Below are 23,472 nucleotides of genomic sequence, written 5' to 3'. Positions count from 1 at the left end.
CTCTCGGTTCAGCTTTGCTCCTGCCAAGGAGCCCCTGGGTTTATCATTAGCCTTGTTTTATTTTATTTTATTGTTTTGTTTTATTTTATTTTATTTTGAGACAGAATCTCACCCTGTTGCCCTGGCTGGAGTGCAATGGCGCGATTTCGGCTCACTGCAACCTCTGCTTCCCGGTTTCAAACGATTCTCCTGCCTCAGCCTCCTGAGTAACTGGGACTACAGGCGCATCCCAACGCACCCAGCTAATTTTTTATTTTTAGTAGAGATGGGGCTTCATGATGTTGGCCAGGCTGGTCTCAAACTCCTGGCCTCAGGTGATCCGTCCGCCTCAGCCTCCCAAAGTGCTGGGATTACAGATGTGAGCCATGCCCAGTCATATTTTAATTTTTTTTGGAGAGGGAGTCTCACTCTGTTGTCCAGGCTGGAGTGCAGTGGCAAGTTCTCAGCACACTGCAACCTCCGCCTCCTGGGTTCAAGTGATTCTTGTGCCTCAGCTTCCCAAGTAGCTGGGACTACAGGTACATGCTTTCACGCCTGGCTAATTTTTGTATTTTCAGTAAAAATGGGGTTTCACCATGTTGGCAAGGCTGGTCTCGAACTCCTGACCTCAAGCTATCCACCCGCCTGGGCCTCCCAAAGTGTTGGGATTACAGGCGTGAGTGACCGTGCCTGGCCTAGGACTGTTTTATTTTTAACTTATTTCTTTTGCTTTTGGGTCTTTGAGGCCAATCTCTCTGGTGTTCCTACGCAGATCCTCTTTCTCTGAGAATCTGCTTTCATAAGAAACAACCCCTCCTTCATATGTCACCAGCATCCTGCTATTAGCCTACCAGCCTCCCCTTCTAATCCAGGGGAAGCTGACTTGACCCAGAATTGAGGCAACCCAGCTCTGCCTTCCATCCATGTCTGAAGATGTGTAAAAACTAGACACATGGCTGGAAAGCCATTTTCCCTCACTATTCCAGTTGATAAACACCCATTATATGGCATTACATCTGAGAAAATTCCTAGTAATAAAAGTTTTTGAAAAAAATCAGGTAAGGGATGTTATTACCACGATAATTCCTTTCAGAATATTTGCCTCCCTGTAAAACTTGGAAGGAGAAAAATATTCCTTTGACAATGCTTCTTTAAGATGGGAGTGACTTATTTCCCTTTCCTCACTGTGAAAATTTAAACTTTCAACCAGACTTTAGAGCAGCTGACTCCATGTACAGTTTTTTTTTTTTTTTTAAATCTATGAGACAGAGTCTCGTTCTGTTGCCCAGGTTGGAGCAGTGGCACCATCTTGGATCTTGGCTTACTGCAGCCTCTGCCTCCCTGGTTCAAGTGATTCTCCTGCCTCAGCCTCCCAAGCAGCTGGGATTACAAGCATGCACCACCAAGCCCAGCTAATTTTTGTATTTTTAGTAGAGACAGGGTTTCACCTTGTTGGCCAGGCTGGTCTCAAACTCCTGACCTCAAATGATTCGTCCGCCTCAGCCTCCCAAAGTGTTGGGATTACAGGTGTGAGCCACCGCGCCTGGCTCTACCTACAGTCTTATTTCATTTTTAGAGCCAAAGACAGCAGATTAGTTACATGAGAGCACGTGCTCCAAGGCTAAACTAACCTAGAATTGAGTCCTAGATCTGACACTTGCTAGCTGTGAGGCTGTGCAGACCGCTGGCTCTCACTAAGCCTCAGTGTCAGTTGTAAAATGGGGATATTAATATCTGTGAAGATTTCATGAGACTGTGGCTATCTAAAGACAGGTTGGCAAGATGCTGGGCTCATGTAAATATTCCTGCCAATATCCGTCTGACCATCACCATTATTATGAGTCAATATCCACATGGCTGCCATCATGATTACTTCTTACTCTTGAAGATGTTACTTCCTAGCCGGGGCCTGCTAGTCTAATCTATACCCTCTTTGCCTTGCTTTTGATGAGAAAAGGGGCACAGGCGAGCCTGCTTGCTCCAGCTGTACTTTGCAAAAAGGCCATTAGATGGGGCCCTGCCATAATCACTCAAGTCAGCAAGTGGCTCTGACTTTGAAACCTGGGGAAAAGGTGTGAGAAGACAATTGAATCCTGTGAGTACTGCTCAGATTGATCAAATGAACCCACTGGCTCTGGTGTAAGAGGTGACCCAGGGGCCTGGTGTGGTAGCTCATGCTTGTAATCCCAGCACTACGGGAGGGTGAGGCAAGAGGATCACTTGAGCCCAGGAGTTGGAGACCAGCCTGGGAAACATGGCAAAACCCCATCTCTACAAAAAAAAAATATCAAAATTAGCTGGGCATGGTGGTATGCACCTGTAGTTCCAGCTACTTGGGAGACTGAGGTAGGAGGATCACCTGAGTCCAGGAGGTCGAGGTTGCAGTGAACCAAGGTTGTACCACTGCACTCTAACCTGGGCGACAGAGCAAGATCCATCCCCCCAACCACCAAAAAAAAATTCCCAAGGTTAGTGGTCACTTGTAGAATGAGTGGCACTTTTCCAGGGCCCTCCTCCTCCAGGCCCCTGCTTTCTAGCCACACGCCTCATTGGTGATTGATGATGACTGCTGTTATTTACAGACCACCTGACCCCTGGCTTCATGAACTCTCTGGACCATGCCCAGGATTCCACTTTACCCTACTTTATATCCACATCTTTATGATTTCAGTGTCCACATGGGCAGCCCATCAACACTATAGGCCCAGCCTCCTCATTCCTTTTCCTTTCCTTCTCCTCCAACGACCTTCACCTCCATTCCACCTCTAACCACTTCCCTTCAAGCTCCACTGGGGTCTTGAATCTCCTGGAATTATTCCACTTCTGAAATCTGAAAGCTCTAGTTACTTTTGCTCCAACCCCAACCTGTATTCTCTTACTCTCACTCCCAGGACACTTTCTCCTTGACCTCACCAAGCTCTCCAATTCCCAAGAGTCTTCACTGGACTCCAAAGCTCATTTTGACCTTCACTTGCTCAATTTTTCCATACTTTGCTGAACCTACCCTGAAGACAAATCCTGAATCAATTCAACCATTTCCTGTGCTCCTACACGCAGGCTGCAAAGCACAGCTGGGAAAACGCCACAATTATGTAGGCTGATGGTACCACTCATTCAACATTTCCCAAATCACCACACTGCCAAGACTTTCAAGCAATCCTTTGACGCTTCTCATCCATTTCCCATAAAGGTTATCTTTGACCTTTATTACCCTCCTTCAGCCCCCTCTTTCCTGACCCCTTCCTTTACAGGAGATGACCTTTCTTCCCATATTACTGGAAACTAGAGACCTTCTGCGTGTGCTCGTCACTCTCTGCCCCTTCTCCCCCTCCTTGCCTGCCCTGCTTTTCCTTCTATTTCAGAGGTTCACGAAGACCATTCACTTTCTGGCTTCCCGGGGGCAGGCTCTTCCTCTTATTTTCTTTCCCTCCTTTTTCTTTTTGAGACAGGGTCTTGCTCTGTCACCCAGACTAGAGTGCAGTGGCGCAATCATGGCTCACTGCAGCCTCAACCTCTTGGGCTCAAGTGATCCTCCCACCTCAGCCTCCCAAGTAGCTGGGACTATAGGCACGCACCACCATGCTTGCCAAATTTTTTAATTTTTTTTTTGTAGAGATGGGGTCTCACTATGTTGTCCAGGCTGGTCTTGAGTTCCTGGGATAAAGTGATCCTCCTTCTCCAGCCTCCCACAGTGCTGAGATTACAGGGATGAGCCACGGGGTGCCCAGCTGCTCTTCCTCTTGTAACTCCAAACTCACTGGCCTACCAGCTCCTTCCTCAGTATTTCACAGTTAAGTTAATGTATAACATTGTATCATTTGATAGGCCCACATTTGTTTCTTGTGTTCTATGCCTTGCCCTGGGTTTTAGAATCTCTCCTTTCATTGTCTTCATTGACCAGCTGTTGCTAATGAGAAGTCCACTATTAGGATGAGGATTGTCCCTTTGTACGTGATCTGTCTTTCCTCTAGAGGAGCTCTTAAAAAAAAATCTTTGATAATCTGCAGTTTCATGACAATGTGTCCAGGTATAGATTTATTTTTAATCCCTTTAGGATTTAGAGAAGTATTAGAGGGTATCCAGGCTGCTTGGGGTGAAATCCCACCACCCAGTTGTGTGACCTTGGGCAAACTACACACATTCTCTCTTTTCCAGTTTACTCACATGTAAATTACTCTTATCCAAGGGATATTAGAGGATTAATGAGTTAATACATAGAAAGCATATAGAAGAGGGTCTGGAACATAAGGGCTAAATAAGTGTTTACCATTATTGTTATTACTCAAATATACGTTGATGTAAGGATTTATGTCTCTCTTCAATTCTAGAAAATTCTCAGCCTTTATTGTTTCAAATATTGCTTTTCTGTTATTTCCTCCATTGTATGGTTGGTGCAAAAGTAATTGCATTAAAACTAATGGCAAAAATCGCAATTACTTTTGCACCAACCTAATATTTTTCTGCTCCTATGAGTTAGCTATATGGCAATTCTCATTCTTTCTCCCTAATTTAACTATGTATTTAAAAAATTCTTTGTATTTCTGTGCTATGAAATGGGTTGTATTTCTCAATACTATTAATATCTTCCAATTCACTAATTATCTCTTCAGTTGTATCTAGCCTAGTTTATCTGATCCACTTAGATTTCATTTCAATGATTCAGTCCCTGAATTTCAAACTGGTTCTTTTTCAAATCCTCTGTTCTTGTTTCTTTTTTGGTTCCTAATTTCTCATTCTTTTAAAATGAACATTATTCCTTTACTTTTCCCTCTGAGCAGCCCGAATATACTATTTTAATCAGGTCTGTCTACAAAGTTATTTTCTTCGGCAGTAGATTTACATTCTGACTGTTGATACCTTGGCTGTCTTCATTAATGTTAGATTTGCGGGGTCGTTTTTGAGTGGGAGGCTTTGTTGTTATTGTCACTGTTGCTGCTTTTTTTTCTCCACCTCCACTCCCTGACTCCTCACACCAATCTCTAGGTTTTACAGTTGCCTTCTAAGAGCAGAACTACTACTGTAAGCCATGGCCCAGGCATCAGACACAGGGGATTCTTTTCAGGTTCCTTTCACCTGAAAGAATGAAAAGAGGGTGGGGAGGCCTACCTCCAGCCTCTTTTTTCAAACAGTGACCCTGGCTCTGGTGGCCCAGCTTGCATTGAGTACTTTTAGTCCTATTGCCATAAAAGACCTACATCAATACCTGCCTGACCCCAAGACCCAGATTCCAGTCAATCCAGGCTACCCTCATCCTTCCGAGTTTTTGATCCACGAGTCCAGCAATATCACTTTGGCTTTCTCTCTTTGTATTTTATCTGTCACTGCTATGCGTTTGGAACAGAGGAGATACACCCGAACATGAACTTCTTTTCCACAGAGATGGGAAATCTTGCAAAGGCTTCTCCCTTCCACTCTAAGTCCCCTTCTGATCCAATTCTTTTCCTTCCTTCTACAGCCAAGCATCAAAGGATACTACAAGCTGGCTTCTAACTCCACCATGTCTCTCGTTTTCATAAAGGTCACCAGTGACCTTATTGCTCATTCTCACAGGACCTTTTAAATTCTGTGTTCACGGAACTCTGTTGCTGTTACTGGTGACAATTTCTTCCTTGGTGTTCTCACTTTCCTGGGCCTTTGTGACTCCCAGGCATCCCGATTCTCCTAACTCTCAGAGTGCTCCTTTCTCATCCATCTCTATGAGATGCTCTTCCATTTCCCTCCCATTAAACGTCAATATTCCCCCAGGTTCCATCCTTGCCCTTCTTTTCATTTTATCCCTCATGTATCCTTTGGGTAATATCCTCTGTTCTCATGCTTTCAAAACTACGTTTATGACTTCCAAATCTGTATCTCTAGGTCTCGGCTTTGGATTTATATACCAAATTCCCTACCGGTTATTTCACTAAGTTTTCCGTGACTACTTCAAACTCAACTGGACAAAAACTGAATTCATCAACCTCACGTGTCTCAGTCTGTTTGGGCTGCTATTAAAAAATGCCATAAACTGGGTAGTGTGTGAACAAAAGAAATTTATTTCTTAGCCAGGCACAGTGGCTCTTGCCTGTAATCCCAGCACTCTGGGAGGCCAAGGTGGATGGATCACCTGAAGTCAGGAGTTCAAGACCAGCCTGGCCAACATGGTAAAAAAAAAAAAAAAAAAAATATATATATATATATATATATATATATATATATGTATTTCTTATAGTTTTGGGGGCTGAGAAGTCCAAGATCGAGGCAGATTTGGCATCAGGTGAGGACCCACTTCCTGGATCATAGATAGCACCTTCTTTCTGTTTTTTTGAGATGGAGTTTCACTCTTGTCACCCAGGCTGGAGTGCAATGGCGTGATCTCGGCTCACTGCAACCTCCACCTCTCAGGTTCAAGCAATTCTCCTGCCTCAGCTTCCCAAGTAGCTGGGATTACAGGTGCCCACCACCATGCCCAGCTAATTTTTTTGTATTTTTTTGTAGAGACGGGGTTTCACCATGTTGGCCAGGCTGGTCATGAACTCCTGACCTCAGATGATCTGCCTGCCTTGGCCTCCCAAAGTGCTAGGATTACAGGTATAAGCCACCATGCCTGGGCAGATAGCAACTTCTAGTTGTGTCCTCACATGGTAGAAGGGACAAGGGGTCTATCTGGGGCCCTTAAAACCTAAGGGGTCTCTCTGGGGCCCTTAAGACCTAAGCACCTTCAAAGGCCTCACCTCCTAATGCCATCACCTTGCGGTGATTAGGATTTTAACATAGGAATTTGGGGGTGAGGGGCACCATGGCATCTCCTAAACCACTTAAAAAAAATTCCTCGCCTTAGTTGGTAGCACGAACACCCATTCGTTACAAAAACCTGAATTATCTCAGACCACTGAGCTAATTGCTCCATCCTAACTAGGCACCAATCTCTCTCTGTCTTCCTAATTCTCTCCTCTATATTTCTTTTCTTTTCTTTTCTTTTTTTGAGACGGAGTCTCACTCTGGAGTGCTGGAGATCACTCTCAGGCTGGAGTGCAGTGGCGTGATCTTGGCTCACTGCAACCTCCGACTCCCTGGTTCAAGCGATTCTCCTGCCTCAGCCTCCCAAGTAGCTGGAATTACGGGCACGCACCACTACTCCCAGCTAATTTTTGTATTTTTAGTAGAGACGGGGTTTCACCACGTTGGCCAGGATGGTCTTGATCTCCTGACCTCGTGATCCGCCTGCCTCGGCCTCCCAAAGTGCTGGGATTACAGGCATGAGCCACCGCACCCAGCGTCTCCTCTCTATTTCTACTGTCACTGCTTTAAATCTCGGGCTGCATTCTCTATCATCTGATCTACTGCAAAAATCTCCTGTGTTCTCTACCAGTCTCTCCCTGCATCACGATCTTGCCTGTCTACCCATTCTCACCCTCTAGCATGTGTTCTCCATAGAGCCTACCCCACTGCCTTGCAATGAGAGTACCTGTCCCTTCCACCAGCCTAACAACCCCTGGTGCCGAATAGATGTTTAACAAATGTTTCTTGTACGATGAATTAAGGCACCATTAAAAGCATCCTATCTTTTAAATGTAAAATAAAGGACTTCTCAAATTTCCACTAGGAACTTAACACAAAGGGATTGAGGAAGATAACTGTTTTTTTCTTTCCTTTTTTTGTTGAGATGGAGTCTCAATCACTCTGTCGCCTAGGCTGGAGTACAGCAGCATGATCTCAGCTCACTGCAACCTCCACCTCCCGTATTCAAGTGATTCTCCTGCCTCAGCCTCCTGAGTAGCTGTGATTACAGGTGTGTGCCACCGCGCCTGGCTAATTTTTGTATTTTTAGTGGAGATGGGGTTTTGCCATGTTGGCCAGGCTGGTCTCGAATTCCTGACTTCAAGTAAGATACCCACTTTGGCCTCCCAAAGTGCGGGGATTACAGGCGTGAGCCACCATGCTCAGCCTGAGGAAGATAATTGATATTTACTGAACATCTATGATATGTCAGGAACTATGATAAATGGCTTATATAAATTATTTGGGGCCAGGCATGGTGGCTCATGCCTATAATCCCAGCAGTTTGGGAGGCCAAGGTGGGGGCATCACTTGAGCCCAGGGGTTCAAGATCAGCCTGGGTAATATAGGAAGACTTCATCTCTACAAAAAATTAAAAAATTAGGCGAGCATGGTGGCAAGTGCCTATAGTCCCAGTTACTTGGGAGGCTGAGGTGAGAAGATCACTTGAGCCCAGGAGGTGGAGGTTGCAGTGAGCTGAAATTGTGCCACTGCTCTACGGCCTGGGTGATAGAGGAAGACTCTGTCTCAAAAAGAAAAAAAAAAATTGGTTCAGAACACTATCATTTTAAAAACAAACCCAAGGGAGTATAGAAAAGCAAGGGGGAAGAGCCTTTAAACCATAAGAATTTACTCGGCCTCTAGGGAATTAAGGAACACCCAAGGGAACAATCAGTCTTGAAATCAGATGACTTTACATTTTTATCAGTTTAGAATAAAGGTTAGGAACAACATGAGCAAATCGAGTCTGATCTTCCATCTCTCAAGCCAGGCGTGGTGGCTCACACCTGTAATCCCAGCTACTCAGGAGGCCGAGGCAGGAGAATCGATTGAACCTAGGAGGCAGAGGTTGCAGTGAGCCGAGATCGGGCCACTGCACTCCAGCCTGGACGACAGAGCGAGACTCTATCTCAAAAGAAAAACAATAACAACAAAAATACAAAACAACAACAACAACAAAGAAATAGGGAACAGTATGCAGTTACGTAAACTCTTAGCCAAAGCAGAATGTTGTTACCCGTGAGTACCAAGGATCACTTTTTTTTTAAAGCAATACTTTTTTTTCTATCTTAAACTGTTACCAAAAGCCCCCAATAAAGACATACCACGTGTACAACTAGTGTATCTGGTTTAACATTATCTATTCCAAGAGACCCAGATGGTTCCAAGCAAATATAGCTGGGTGCTGAAAACAAAGCTTCACCCATAGATCGAAATTAAGTTACTAGAAAATTCAGTCTTTCCAGTGTCCTTCATTCCCGAGGACGTTCCTTAATATGTTTCATATTTCATTTCAATAATTTACTCTAGTTTTGACATCCCAACCAAGGTGATGTTGAGTTCATAACAAACCCAATCTCATGATAGATTTCTGAACCTTTGTAGGAATGATAATAAAATGTTTCAGCACCAAATGGTCAATTATTTGGTTTTACCCCTGAGTATCTCTTCCATGATGGCATTTTGCTGATGCTTTTCAACATCTATTTATTATCATCTGATCGGCATAGCTAAAGATAATTAAAATTACTCTAGATAATGGTTTGCATAGTCCAAAGGTATTTATGACCATGTCTTTACAGGACTGGGAACAAGATGAAACATTTTCAGATGAAGCTCCATGAAGTTTATATTTAACAAATTTATGTACCAAATGGCCATAAAAATCTGATGGAATATAAACAGGCCTTCAATAGGTATTAGTGGAGAAATAGGATTTAAATGTGATTTAATAGCTTAATATTATTCATAGAGAATCGCCATCAGTCTCAGAAGATCAAGTGCAGAATTTGGTGGGCAACAGCTGACACACTGCATGGTTAAAAAGCAGAGCCCTGTGTACAAGTAGGGGAGCAGATGGAAGCAATGATTTCAGCGCATCAAAAGGCAGAAATTGCTTTGAAATCATGTCCATTGGAAATCATTAACTTCTTTTCTGTAAGCTCAGCTCCTATTATCCCCTTGCCCCACATTAAAAAAAAAAAAAAACTAAAATACTAGCTGAGACTTTGTCCTTGAAGGTGTATCAGATAGATGGCATCCAGGGATTTTTAGTAAGAAATCCATTTTATAAAGATGATGGCTCTGGATGTCCAAGGGGAAGAAGATTCAATGGTTCCCTTTTCAGAGTTCTATCAAGTCATTTGCATTATTAGGAAGCCAGCCAGTGCCCTGGAAAAAGTTAACAAACAACCTTCCAGGCCTGAACAACTGAATAGCTTATTATTCAATGACTTGACTTTGGCAGAATTCAGTTCAGTGTTCACATTTGATATGCAAACACTATTCAGTACTGAAATGCACTCATGATGTACATCTCAATATCCTATGCAAAAGGAGATATCATGCTGAATTAATTCATTGATTCTAAGATGCCACCAACTATACCACCGAAAAAGAAAAAATGCTGCCACTTGTAATTGTAACATGCCATCAACTCTAATATGCGTTTCATTTGTAAAGTTGTTAAAACATGAAAAACAATGGCCGTGTTAAAACATGCTGAATGTCTAAAATGTGTACAAAGCTCTATTCTGTGCACTTTTCAGGCTTAACACATTTAATCCTCACAAGTACCCTATGAGTGGGAACTATCATGATACTCATTTGACAGGGGCACACGGAAGTGAAGTAACATGACTTAACTAGCTGCTAAGGAGTTGACTTGGGATTCAAAGACACCTGGTTTGACTCTAGTGCCTACAGTCTTCATCCTGTCTCCATTCTGCCACGGTTCTGTTGATGATTAACTGGGAACAACAGCATAGATGGCTCTCACCTCTTGGAACAGAGCTGTGCCAAGCAGGATCCCTTACAGATGAGTAAAACCCAAGGAAGGACTGTGTCTGAAACCAGAATCCCCAACCTCCAAGCAGGAGGCCACAAGGCAGAGGGTCTGCTGCTTGCACCAGTAACCACTCCTTTCTCCACTTTGAAAAAGTGAACTCAAAAGTCCCTGGAGACGTGACTTATCAACTCATGTCTGAGGATGCCTCTGGGTGGTGAAAAAGGAATAGGGACTGCAGACTTCAGAAACGTGAGAACTTGGACTCCCCAAGTTACACTGACTTCCCCATTTGTGGATCTCCAAGAGTCCACTCTGAAGTGGTTCCCATGAGGTATAACTGAAGTGAAAGAGAAAAGAGAACTATGGTTTATGAAGCATTTGACATGCAGCATCTCACTGCATCCTCTCAATTCTCTCTGAAGTGGGTGCCATTTTCCCCTTTACACAGCTGGGGAAGTTCAGAACAGCGAAGTCCCGTTATCACTTGGCTGCAGAGCCCTGCTTTGGACCCTATTTGGTCGAAGGCTGGTGATTTCTCTGATTCTAGTACAGAATCCTACTAACTGGGCCTGACCAGCTGCTAGCTTTTGGCAGATTCCTCAAGTGTTCTCCACCAAAATGCTCCACGACCCAAGATTGCTGTCCATCCTCTGTCATGAGCAATCCACCCACCAAGGCACCATCCACTGGACTCAACAAACATAAACACAAAGCTCTAGGTAAATAAACAGCAAAGCTGTGCCTTATTTTTTTTAAGTGACGTACACTGTATTCCCACAGTAATTATGAGGGGGAAAAGGAGCCAAACATTTGGGAAACAACTGCAGAGCCAGTGACTGAGGCTAACAGTGGATCACAAAGAATTAAAGAGGTTTGAGTTTCATGGAACAGAAGACTCAGATGAATATTTTCTTTTTCAAAACTCAAAAGATCAATATCAAGAATATAAAAAATCATATAAAAAACATGGCTCACGCCTGTAATCTCAGCACTTTAGAAGGTCAAGGAGGGCAGATTGCTTGAGCCCAGGAGTTTGAGACCAGCCTGGCCAACACGGTGAAACCTCGTCTCTACTAAAAATGTAAAAATTAGCATAGTGTGGTGGCATGCACCTATAATCCCAGCTACTTGGGAGGCTGAGGCAGGAGAGTCGCTTGAACCCTGGAGGCAGAGGTTCAGTGAGCCAAGATCACACCACTGCACTCCAGCCTGGGTGACAAAGGGTGACTCCATCTAAAAAAGAAAACAAAACAAAAAATCAAAAAGCCAAAAAACAGCCACTACCCACCAGTCAAACATATGTAATTATTTTGTCATATTTGATTCCGATTCTGTCCCTACTTAAAAAAAAAAAAAAGAGAAAATTTCACACTTATAGTTGAAATCCCTTCCTCTTCCACACCTGGCTGACAGCTATCATAAATTTATTGTGAACTTAGTCCACATTTTAAAATAAACTTTGTATTTTATGTAACATATAAATGCATCTGCATCCATAAATAAGATATTCTTAAATGATTTTAATGGTTTCCATGGTCAGGTTTGTAAACACTTTTGGAATTTATTTTTGAATATGGAGTGAGGTAGGGATCCATTCTTTTCTTTCTTTTTTTCTTGAGACAGGGTCTTTCTCTGTTGCCCAGATGGAAGTGTAGTAGCGCCATCATGACTCACTGCAGTTTTGACCTCCCAGGCTCAAGTGATCCTCCTGCCTCAGTCTCACAAGTAGCTGGAGCTACAGGCCTACATCACCATGCCTGGCTAATTATTTTTATTGTTTGCAGAGATGGGGTCTAGCTATGTTGCCCAGGCTGGCCTTGAACTCCTGGACTCAAGTGATCCTCTTGCCTTGGCCTCCCAAAGTGCTGGGATTACAGGCATGAGCCACTGTGTCCAGCCTATTATTTTAGTTTTCCCTATGAAATGTCAACTCACTTAATGTCATTTACTGAGAAAGTTATCTTTCCTTCCCACTGATTGGAGACACATTATCTATTATGTATCAAATTCACATGATCAGCTTACGTTTATTTCTATCTTTGTGCAAATACCACATTCTTTCATATGATTTTGTTATCAGATATGATGAACTTCGCCTCCTTGTTCTTTGTTCAAAATTTGTCTCAGCTATCTTTTGACTTTTATTTTTCCATCTGATTTTACAATTTATGACAATCCTGTTGAGATGTTGATTGGAATTACATTTAATTTGGAGACTGATTTAGGAAATCACTTATTTCTTTACAGTATTTAGTCTTTTGCTCCATGCACATGGAGTATTTATAATTTGTTCAGGTCTTTGTTAGGTCCTTTGATAATAATTTCGTCTAGAAAAGTTAGATTTGTTCTTGGGTACCTTAATGTTATGTTGCTATTGATGATGGGATTAATATTTTCTAATTATTACTCATATATGGAATATCATTGATATTTGTAAGTTGATCTGATAGCCAGTAACCCTTCTGAACATAATCATTTTGCTATCATTTTAACTATTTAGTATTCTATTTAAGATAATTTGTAAATTCTCTTAGGTTTTCAGTTTAGACACACTGTCTGCCTATAACAAAATTCTTTTATCTTTAGTTACATTCCTTATACCATTTTTTGCTCTTTCAATTTTAATTTTAAAAAATCATTGCGCTGGGTGTGGTGACTCACTCCTATAATGCCAGCACTTTGGGAGGCTGGGGTGGGAGGATCATTCGAGCCCAGGAGTTCAAGACCAGCATGGGCAACACAGCGAGATGCCCATCTCTACAAAAAAAAAAAAAAAATTAGCTGGGCATGGTGATGTGCTCCTGTAGTCCCAGCTACTAAGAAGGCTGAGGTGGGAGGATTGCTTCAGCCCAGGAGGTTGAGGCTGCAGTACGCCGTGATGGTGCCACTGCACTCCAGCCTGGGTGACACAGCAAGACCCTGTCTCCCAAAAAAATTTTTAAATCAATAAATAATTGTGACTTTAAATCTTAATATAATGTCAAACATGTCAAAAAATTGCAAGAATATAAAAAAAATCAAGAAATATCAGAAAATCCCTGAACACCCTTTACCCAGATTCTCCAGCCGTTAACATTTGCTTCTTTTGCTTTGTCTTTCACATTTGAGAAAACATTGCAGATATGTCCCTTGACCTCTAGATATTTCAGGGTGAATTTCCTAAGAATAAAGACAGTCTCTCACCTGATTACAAAACAACGATCAAAATTAGGAAGTTTAACATTGATATAATACTATTATCTAATCCTCAGTCCCTACTTAAATTTTGCCGATTACCCAGTAATATCCTTTGGGCTCTTTTTCTCCAGTTTAGGTTCCAGTCCAGGATCATACTGCATTTAGTAGTCTCATCTCTTTAGTCTTCTTTAATCTAAAATAATTCATCAGCCTTTCTTTGTCTTTCATGACCTCAACAATTTTGGAGAGTACAGGCCAGCTATTTTATAGAATCCCATCAATCTGAGTTTGTGTAAAGTTTCCTTATGATTAGATTTAGCTTATGGGTTTTTTGTTTGTTTGTTTGTTTGTTTGTTTTTGACAAGAACACTAAAGAGGTGATGCGTCTTTTTCAGCACATCATATCATTTCTGATGCTAGTTTGTTCCAGGATTGATAACGTTACAGACATTTGGTTAAGGTGGTATACACCAGGTATGTCTATTGTAAAATTCTTTCTTTCTTTCTTTCTTTTTTTTTTTTTGAGACAGAGTTTCGCTCTTGTTGCCCAGGCTGGAGTGCAATGGCACATTCTTGGCTCAGTGCAACCTCCATCTCCCAGGTTCAAGTGATTCTCCTGCCTCAGCCTCCCCAGTAGCTGGGATTACAGGTGCCCACCACCACGCCCGGCTAATCTTTTTGTATTTTTAGTAGAGATGGGGTTTCACCGTGGTCTCCAACTCCTGACCTCAGGTGATCCACCCACCTCGGCCTGCTAAAGTGCTGGGATTACAGGTGTGAGCCACTGTGCCTGGCTGTCTATTGTAAAATTATTTCTATTTCCATTTTCCATTAGTAAGTCACTTGCAGAGAAATACTCTTAGTCCATGTAAATATCCTGTTCCTCATCAAACTTTTCACATACTAGTTTTAGCATTCAATGATGTTTACTACTAAATCAATTACTATTATGATAGTTGCAAATGGTGATTTTCTTCTACAGGTAGGCCCTAGGGTTGTGTATTTGCTCAAACTTAAATTACACAAAAAATAGTTTCAGTAGTATTAGCCCATACTACAGTAAGAAACAAACTTATTACTTAGAATTCAGTATTTGTTTACAATTCTTATTGTCTTCCGACTGAGGATACATAGTCAGAGTGCTGTGTAATTGAGAATTCCTTGGGAAAGGTCTTTTTCTCTCCTTTTCAGTGTGGCTATTTTATTTCTTTTAAAATACAGTTAGGTTCATTTATTTCGTTTTAATTCTATTTTAGTATCTTCCACCCCACCAACCCCCTGCCTAATCCCTGTTGATTTGGTTTCATTATTTTTGAGTGGGGAAAACATTAACATGATTTCAAAAGTTGAATGATTCAAAAAGGTATACTCCCAGAGGTAGTGCTTCTCTCACCATCTCTACCCCGTTTCCACACACCCCCACTGTAGGTAGCCAATCTCATTATTTTCTGGTTTGTCCTCTCTGCATGTCTTTTTTTTCCTGTTCTTCCTTTCCTTTCCTTTCCTTTTGAGACAGAGTCTCACTCTGTCACCCAGGCTGGAGTGCAGTGGTATGATCTCAGCTCACTGCAACCTCCACCTCCTGGGTTCAAGAGATTCTCCTGCTTCAGCCTCCCGAGTAGCTGGGATTACAGGCATGTGCCATGACGTCTGGCTATTTTTTATATTTTTAGTAGAGATGGGGTTTCACCATGTTGGCCAGGCTGGTCTCGAACTCCTGAACTCAGATGATCCACCTACTTTGGCTTCCCAAAGTACTGAGATTATAGGTGTGAGCTAACACACCCAGCATTGGTGGTGATATATCCTGTACCCAATACTTGTTTTGCTCAACGGTCTTAGCATCCATTGATGGCTTTTTTTTTTTTTTTTGAGTCAATTATTACTACAGTGGTTACAAAGTGGACATTCAGACCTTGATACTTGGTATTGCCTCTCTAGCTCCAAACTCCAGTTTCCCAACATGATTCAGCACCAGGTCTTTGCTGACAATGCTTTTGACCAGTTTGGTTAACTGTCTCCCTCACCCTTGATACTAGCACATCAGAGGAGGCAGGTCTTTTTGAATTTATCACAGCACCTGTGAATCAGGCCTAGCCAGAAAGCAGACACTACTTTAAGCTGTCTTCTACTAATGATTATCCGCGGTAAGTTCTAGCTTCTTTGAATGCAGAGGTAAGCTGTGTTGTCACTATACCTCTGAGAATCAGAAAGCCAGCCCTTGTGTGCTGGATATTCTTTTTGCTCATGTGTTTTTTACATGCAGCTCTCAGATCACAAATTGTACCACAAATAGCAGTGGCCACATCTTAAGGAATCAAACATGATCTGTTTTCCATTGTCCTCAAAATGACACCATTAGACACAGATTGAATAAGAACATTGACTTTCCACTTCACAGACCAAAGCAGATAATAATCCTTCCAAACTGCAAATGGGAGTGTTTTGTGCAACCTCCTTTTTAACAGGTGCTGACTTATTAGAGAAAATTGCAGATTTTGTAGGTGGCTGGTTATAATAATCTAAGGTTAAAAACAGAACGATAAAAGTTGAAGACATCAGAGATCACGTCTAAAAATAAAGCAAATGCTTTTTTTCTTTCTGTAATCCTCAATTAGAAGCCATTTAAGGAAGAGATAATCAGCTCCAGAGACCTGTAAATATGGATTCTGCAGTTCCCACTGGCACTCCTGCTTTACAAATTAATTTTAGTACATTTTGAAATGTGTTAACATCCATCCATCTATGTTGTCCTCTTGGAGTTACAAATACAAATGCAGTTGTCCCCGACCTTGGCCGAGGGGGATATATTCTGAGACTCCCACTGGATGTGTGAGACCTCAGATAGTACCAAACTCTATACACGCTCTATTTTTTTTCTTTTGATGTGATAACCGAGACAGCTACTAAGTAACTAACAGGCGTGTAGCATATACAGAGCAGAGTTGACGGACAAAGGGAGGCTTCGTGCCCTGGGTGGGGTGGGGCAGGACGGTATGAGATTTCATGTTGCTCCTCAAAACAGCATGCAATTTAAAACTTAGGAATTATTCTTTTCTGGAATTTTCCATTTAATATTTTTGGACTGCATTTGACTGCAGGGAACTAAAACTGCAGAAAGTGAAACCTCGGAGAAGCAGGGACTACTGTGCTAATTAGAAAACAGACTTCACGGCTGGGCACGGTGGCTCACGCCTGTAATCCCAGCACTTTGGGAGGCCGAGGTGGGCAGATCACTTGAGGTCAGGAGTTCAAGATCAGCGTGGCCAACATGGTGAAATCCCGTCTCTACTAAAAATATAAACATTAGCTGGGTGTGGTGGCGCGCACCTGTAGTCCCAGCTACTCTGGAGGCTGAGGCAATAGAATCGTTTGAACCTGAGAGGTAGAGATTGTAGTGAGGTGAGATCACGCCACTGCACTCCAGCCTGGGTGACAAAGTGAGACTCCGTTTCAAAAAATAAAAAAGAAAGAAAACAAACTTCACGATGGCTATTGTCATAGCAAGCCTCAATAAATACAGCTCTCCTGAAATGCTAAAATTCCCTCTTTGTCAGCTGGTAACTTCCAGGGGAAGCTACTTGTAGTCAGGAAGAGAACATTTCTCTCCAAAGCCATGCAAGTTGAGCCCAGTCAAGACATTGAGATGTTTATGCAATTTACCCGAAGGAGGCACCCAGGGGGAGAAATTAGATCTCTCTAAGTAAATCTTTGTGGTTAAATTAATGAGATCGTTTATTTCCTAAAACCAAGCACAGCCCAGTGATTGAAAATTAGTCTTAACCAAGGAATAAAGATAACAACGAGAAGCTGGACCTGGAAGCCATCAGAAGGTCCTTCTTAGGACCTGGGCAATCTCTATCTCGGAGCATCTAGAAACTTCTCTTTTCTGTCACTCCTCTCCCTAGATAAAAATCATGACCCACATCCCTCTCTGAATGCCAGATTCATATGCATATGCAACTTCTTCTTCTTCTTCTTTTGAGACAGAGTCTCGCTCTGTTGCCCAGGCTGGAGTATGGTGGCTTGATCATGGTTCACTGCAGCCTTGACTGCCTGGGCTCAAGCGATCCTCCCACCTCAGCCTCCTGAGTAGCTGGGATGACAGGTGTGTGCCACCATGTCCAGCTAATTAAATTTTTTTTTTTTTTTGTAGAGATGGGGGTCTCAACATGTTGCCCAGGCTGGCCTTGAACTCTTGGGTGCAAGCGATCCTCCTGCTTTGACCTCCCAGAGCACTGGGATTACAGGTGAGAGCCACAACACCTGGCCAATATCCAACTTCTTACCCCTCATTTCCACTTGGCAGTCTCATTGGTATCTGAAAGTCATCATGACTAAATGGCGCTCTTGCTTTTCTTCTCAGAACCTGCTTCTCCTCCACTGTTTCCCATGATGGCAATGGCACCACCACTTACCCAGGCCCACTAGGCAGAGCTAGAAAGCCTGAGATCATCCCTATTTTGTTCCCCTCTCATGCCCCGCATCAATTCTAACAGAAAGTCACTCTGTTTTCAAAATAGATCCCTTCCTCCCCTCTTTATCCTCTGCCATCTTTCCAGCTCAAACCACCATCTTGGTCTGGATCATTCCAATAGCCTACCAACTGGACTCCCTGCTTCCAGTCTTGCCTTTCACTAATTCTCCACAGAACAGCCAGAGCAAACATTTTAAAACATAAATCAACCAATGTAATGGGGTGTCCTAATCTGGATTCTGGAACAGAAGCAAAAGTACATTATTGGGAAAACTGGTGAAATCTGAATGAAGTCTGTAGTTTTGGCAGTGGAATCATGGTTAGGTAAGGGGAAACTGGGTAGAGGGTATTTGAGAACCCTGTGCACAATCTTCGCAAGTTTAGTATACATTTTTTTTTTTCCTGAGATGGAGTTTTGCTCTTGTCACCCCGGCTGGAGTGCGGTGGCACAATTTCGGCTCACTGCAACCTCTGTCTCCCAGGTTCAAGTGATTCTTCTGCCTCAGCCTCCTGAGTAGCAGGGATTACAGGCATGCACCACCACGCCCAGCTAATTTTTTTTTTTTTTTTTTTTGAAGTAGAAACAGGGTTTCACCATGTTGGCCAGGCTGGTCTTCTCAAACTCCTGACCTCAGGTAATCTGCCCGCTTCAGCCTCCCAAAGTGCTGGAAAATAAGCCACTGTACCCAGCCAACTTTAGTATAAATTTAAAATTATCCCCAAATAAAAAATTTTAAAAAACTCCACGAACAGTATCTTGTTATTCCTTTGTTTAAAATCCTTGAATAAGTTCCCACTGCACTGAAATCCACACTCTGCCATGGCCCCATAGCTCTTGCGTGATCTAGCTTTTACTACATTTTCAACCTCAGTTCCTGCCAGTCTACTTATTCTCACTCCTAATGCTCTAGCCAGTGGTTTTCCAACAGTTCCTGGAATATGTGAGGCTGTGTTAGGGTCCAGGGCCTTTGCTCCCTGCATTAGTTTGTGGGGTCAGCCATAACAGAACACCACAGATTGGGTGGTGTAAACAACAAAATCTAATTAATTGTCTCACAGCTCTGGAGGCTGAAAGTCCAAGATCAATGTGCCTGCAGGGTTGATTTCTTCAGAGACCTCCTCCTTGACTTGCGGATGGCTGCCTTCTCCCTACGTCTTCACGTGTTGCACCCAAAGAGTCTGCTTGTTTGTTTTTGAGACAGCGTCTCTCTCTATCACCCAGGCTGGAGTGCAGTGGCACGATCTTGGCTCACCGAAACCTCTGCTTCCTGGGTTCAAGTGATCCTTCCATCTCAGCCTCCTGAGTAGCTGGGACTACAGGTGTGTGCCACCACATCTGGCTAGTTTTTGCATTTCTTATGTACAGATGGGGTTTTGCCACGTTGCTCAGGCTGGTCTTGAACTCTTGAGCTTAAGCGATCCGCCCGCCTCAGCCTCCCAAAGTGCTGGGATTCCAGCTGTGAGCCACCACACCCAGCCTAGAGTCTCTTTATGTGCCCAAGTGTTCTCTTCTTATCTGAACACCAGTCAGACTGGATTAGGACCCACTCTAATGGCCTCATTTTAACTTAATCCCCTCTTTAAAGGTCCTGTCTCCATGCACAGTCACATTCTAAAGCTTCCACGTATGAACCTGGGGTGGGGGAACATATATCTCATAGGGCTGGCTCCTTCCCATACTCAAGCCTCAAGTGGACTTGTGTCTTCTGAGGGGCCTTTCTGACCACATGGCCTCAGGCTGAGCTCCCTCTAGTCTGTTTATAGCTTTCCTAGCACTTAGCACAGCTGCAATTCTTTTGTTTGTTTACTTGCCTATTATCTGCTTCCCCTACTCCATGATTAATGGAGGGCTGGTTTGTCTGGTTTTTTTTTTTTTTTTTTCTGAGATGGAGTTTCACTCTTGTTGCTCAGTCTGGAGTGCAATGGCACGATCTCAGCTCACTGCAATCTCTGCCTCCCAGGTTCAAGTGATTCTCCTGCCTCAGCCTGCTGAGTACCTGGAATTACAGGCATGCGCCACCATGCCCAGCTAATTTTTTGTATTTTTAGTACAGATGGGGTTTCTCTATGTTGGTCAGGCTGATCTCGAACTCCCGACCTCAGGTGATCTGGCTGCTTCTGCCTCCCAAAGTGCTGGGATTACAGGCGTGAGCCACTGCAACCGGCCTGGAGGGCTGGTTTGTCTTAATGCTGTATCCCCGATCCTTCTCCTAATGCCTGGGACATAGTAGGTGCTCAAAACTTGTTGAACAGCAAATGGTTCATTGACACTTGAGACAAAATCAGAGTCTCATTGGGAAATCATCATGAGTGCAGTTAATCCCGAGGTGTGGCCATCACAGTAATCATGTCTCTTATTTGCATGGCACTTCACAGTTTATGAAGTGCTTCCATGTAAATGAACCTCTATGCATCCTCTACACCCTGATGGAAGCATTATTTATCCTATTTTTTTTTTAAATAAAGAAACCAAGCCTTAGGCTTATGGTGATAACTGGAACTTCAATACTGATCTTTCTGTTTCACAAAGAACAACTTTGTGTTCTTTCATTACCACACAGAGGAGCTAGAAATGAAATACATTCCAGACACTTCTTTTAGGCAGCTTCCAAGGAGACCCCTGTGAAAGACAGAGCTTCATGTTTCCAGGAACTAAACTGGACATTCTCTTCATTTTATCAGAGGAGTTTCTTTGCCAAGAAATAATGTCCTTGGTGATATGTGGCTAATGAGAACACATATGTTACCCAGGTCTTTTTATTGTGTGAGTGGGAGTGGAATGGAGTGGGGTTTACATATGCCTTTTGTAAACTGTCCTATTTTCCAGGAGTATAAAGGAGTGAAAACATTTGTTTTCCTAAGTGTTGGTTTTAAATAGCACTTACTATTTCTTTAAATCTATAGTTCTCAGTCTTGTTGCCCCTTAGATTCACCTGGGGGAACTGTAAAAATCCCAATGCCGGCCGGGCATGGTGGCTCACACCTGTAATCCCAGCAATTTGGGAAGCCGAGGCGGGCGGATCATGAGGTCGGGAGATCGAGACCATCCTGGCTAACACAGTGACACTCCATCTCTACTAAACACAAACACACACACACACAAACACACACACACACACACACACACACACACAAAATTAGCCAGGCGTGGTGGCGGGCGCCTGTACTCCCAGCTACTCTGGAGGCTGAGGCAGGAGAATAGCGTGAACCTGGAAGGCCGGAGCTTGCAGTGAGCTGAGATCGCGCCACTGCACTCCAGCCTGGGTGACAGAGTGAGACTCCATCTCAAAAAAAAAAAAAGAATCCCAATGCCTCAACCCCACCTCAGACCAATGAAATCAGAATCCCCAGGGCTGGGACAGCAGCATCAGTGATGGCTAAATCTTCCCAGGTGATTTTTTTTTTTTTTTTTGAGAAGGAGTCTCGCTCTGTTGCCCATGCTGGAGTGCAGTGGTGTGATCTCGGCTCCCTGCAACCTCCGCCTCCCAGATTCAAACAATTCTCCTGCCTCAGCCTCCCTAGTAGCTGGGATTACAGGCATGCACCACCACACCCAGCTAATTTTTGTATTTTTAGTAGAGACGAGGTTTCACCATGTTGGACAGGCTGGTCTCAAACTCCTGAGCTCAAGCCATCCTCCCGCCTCGGCCTCCCAAAGTGCTGGGATTACAGGTGTGAGCCACCCCGCCTGGCCCAGGTGATTTTAATAGGCAGCTGTGATTGAGAACTGCTGGTCTAGACCCTCTCAGGGGTGGGGACAGCATAGCCAATGTCTCCTGAGGGAACATATCAGGTTCAGCCTCAGGGTAGACTCTAAAACTGCACACACTGCCAGCTGGAGAATTTGGTGTTCTGGAAGTGAGTGTTCTGTCCTTCATGCTTATTGGCTGGTTTAGACCAGCCTGCGCCCAGGACCCATTAAATAAAATCCCAGGGGCTGGGACCCAGGCATGAGTTGTTAAAACTTCTCAGGTGAATCCAATGTGCAGCCAAGGCTGGGAACCACTGCTTTAAATGGTGCCTGCTTTGTTTGGAAGAGGAAGTAAAGTAGCAAGGCTGCCCCCATTAACCCCATTGAACACCAGTAACCTGGCAGCCGTCACCACATGGGCAGCCTCTCATTCAGCTGAACCAGGCAGTGCTAAGCACGGACTCTCACAGGCCTAGATTTATGGCCTTGGATAAACAACGGAACCTTACCTTGGCACGGTGCCGTCCTCCCTAGCACGAATGAAGGCCCAAGTAATTCTCATAAGTATGTGCATAAAATAAATGGGCCTCAGTTTAAGACAACTTCCCCATTGCATCCTGGTTAATGTAATCACAGTTTGCAGGTTTTCACAATCATACGTATACTGGTTTTATTTTTAACAAGGAAGATATTTACTCATACTGCCACTATTTTTTTTTTTTTTACTAGATATTGGGTCACGTCAAAAAATTACTTATATGGTAATTGATAATAGGATAACAACATGTACTCGATTCAACCACTATCATCAATATGACTATCAGCAGCCTCTTTCAATTTAATTATTGCTTCTTATCGTCATCAATTTCATTAAATTTTTGGCAGGTAGGGGAGGAAACAGTGCAGATAGCAGTATGAAGGATGGTAGCTGAATGATAAGAGTGTACACCCAGAAAGTGCAAAGAAATGAACTGAGTTTATTAAATAGTTTGGAAACGCGGTGAGACAAGAGAATTATCCACTACTGCACTGCTTTCCTTAGCAACTCTGCCTCCCACCAAAAACTCCACACTCAACCCAGGACAGAAAAAGAGCACACCAGCACACTCCTTGGCTTAAAACACCAGTTTTGAATCCCTGGCTAGATAAAGCTAGCGTTTAGTAATTAAAGAATTGTTAGATAAATATATACTTCTTATGTTCAGATTTTGAAGTATTAACAAGTATGAATGGAAACGGATGCAGCCCTCCTTTTCTTTTCTTTTCTTTTTTTTTGAGACAGAGTTTCACTCTTGTCACCCAGGCTGGAGTGCAGTGGCGCAATCTCTGCTCACGGCAACCTCTGCCTCCCGGGTTCAAGCAATTCTCCAACCTCAGCCTCCTGAGTAGCTGGGATTACAGGTGCACGCCACCATGCCCAGCTAATTTTTCTATTTTTAGTAGAGACGAGGTTTCGCCATGTTGGCCAGGCTGGTCTCAAACTCCTGACCTCAGGTATCCACCCACCTCAGCCTCCCAAAGTGCTGGGATTACAGGCGTGAGCCACCGTGCCTCGGCGCAACGCTCCTTTTCTGCCTTTCTGGGACCAACTTTGAATCTGCTGGA

The 23,472-nt window shown here is 43.3% G+C and overlaps 1 protein-coding gene across 3 annotated transcripts in view, besides 2 other annotated features; it reads right to left on the bottom strand.

The window, feature by feature from the left end:
• Positions 1-23,472, bottom strand: part of PITPNC1 (phosphatidylinositol transfer protein cytoplasmic 1) — a 319,976-nt gene that overhangs the window by 92,081 nt on the left and 204,423 nt on the right. The window lies entirely within an intron of this gene.
• Positions 1,786-2,295: an enhancer, noted in NCBI's record as "OCT4-NANOG hESC enhancer chr17:65598997-65599506 (GRCh37/hg19 assembly coordinates)". NCBI's record gives its function as "activates a minimal SCP1, AML or CMV promoter by ChIP-STARR-seq in primed H9 embryonic stem cells {active_cell/tissue: H9 hESC(primed)}" and the evidence as "EXISTENCE:reporter gene assay evidence [ECO:0000049][PMID:30033119]".
• Positions 5,510-5,738: a silencer, noted in NCBI's record as "fragment chr17:65595554-65595782 (GRCh37/hg19 assembly coordinates)". NCBI's record gives its function as "represses an EF-1alpha promoter that drives an FKBP-Casp9 reporter gene in an ReSE screen in HepG2 liver carcinoma cells {active_cell/tissue: HepG2}" and the evidence as "EXISTENCE:reporter gene assay evidence [ECO:0000049][PMID:32094911]".

Source organism: Homo sapiens, chromosome 17 (assembly GCF_000001405.40).
Source record: "Homo sapiens chromosome 17, GRCh38.p14 Primary Assembly".
Taxonomy (NCBI): Eukaryota; Metazoa; Chordata; class Mammalia; order Primates; family Hominidae; genus Homo; species Homo sapiens.
Note: the sequence above shows the minus strand (reverse complement) of the source record. Positions and strands in the feature narration are given on the sequence as shown.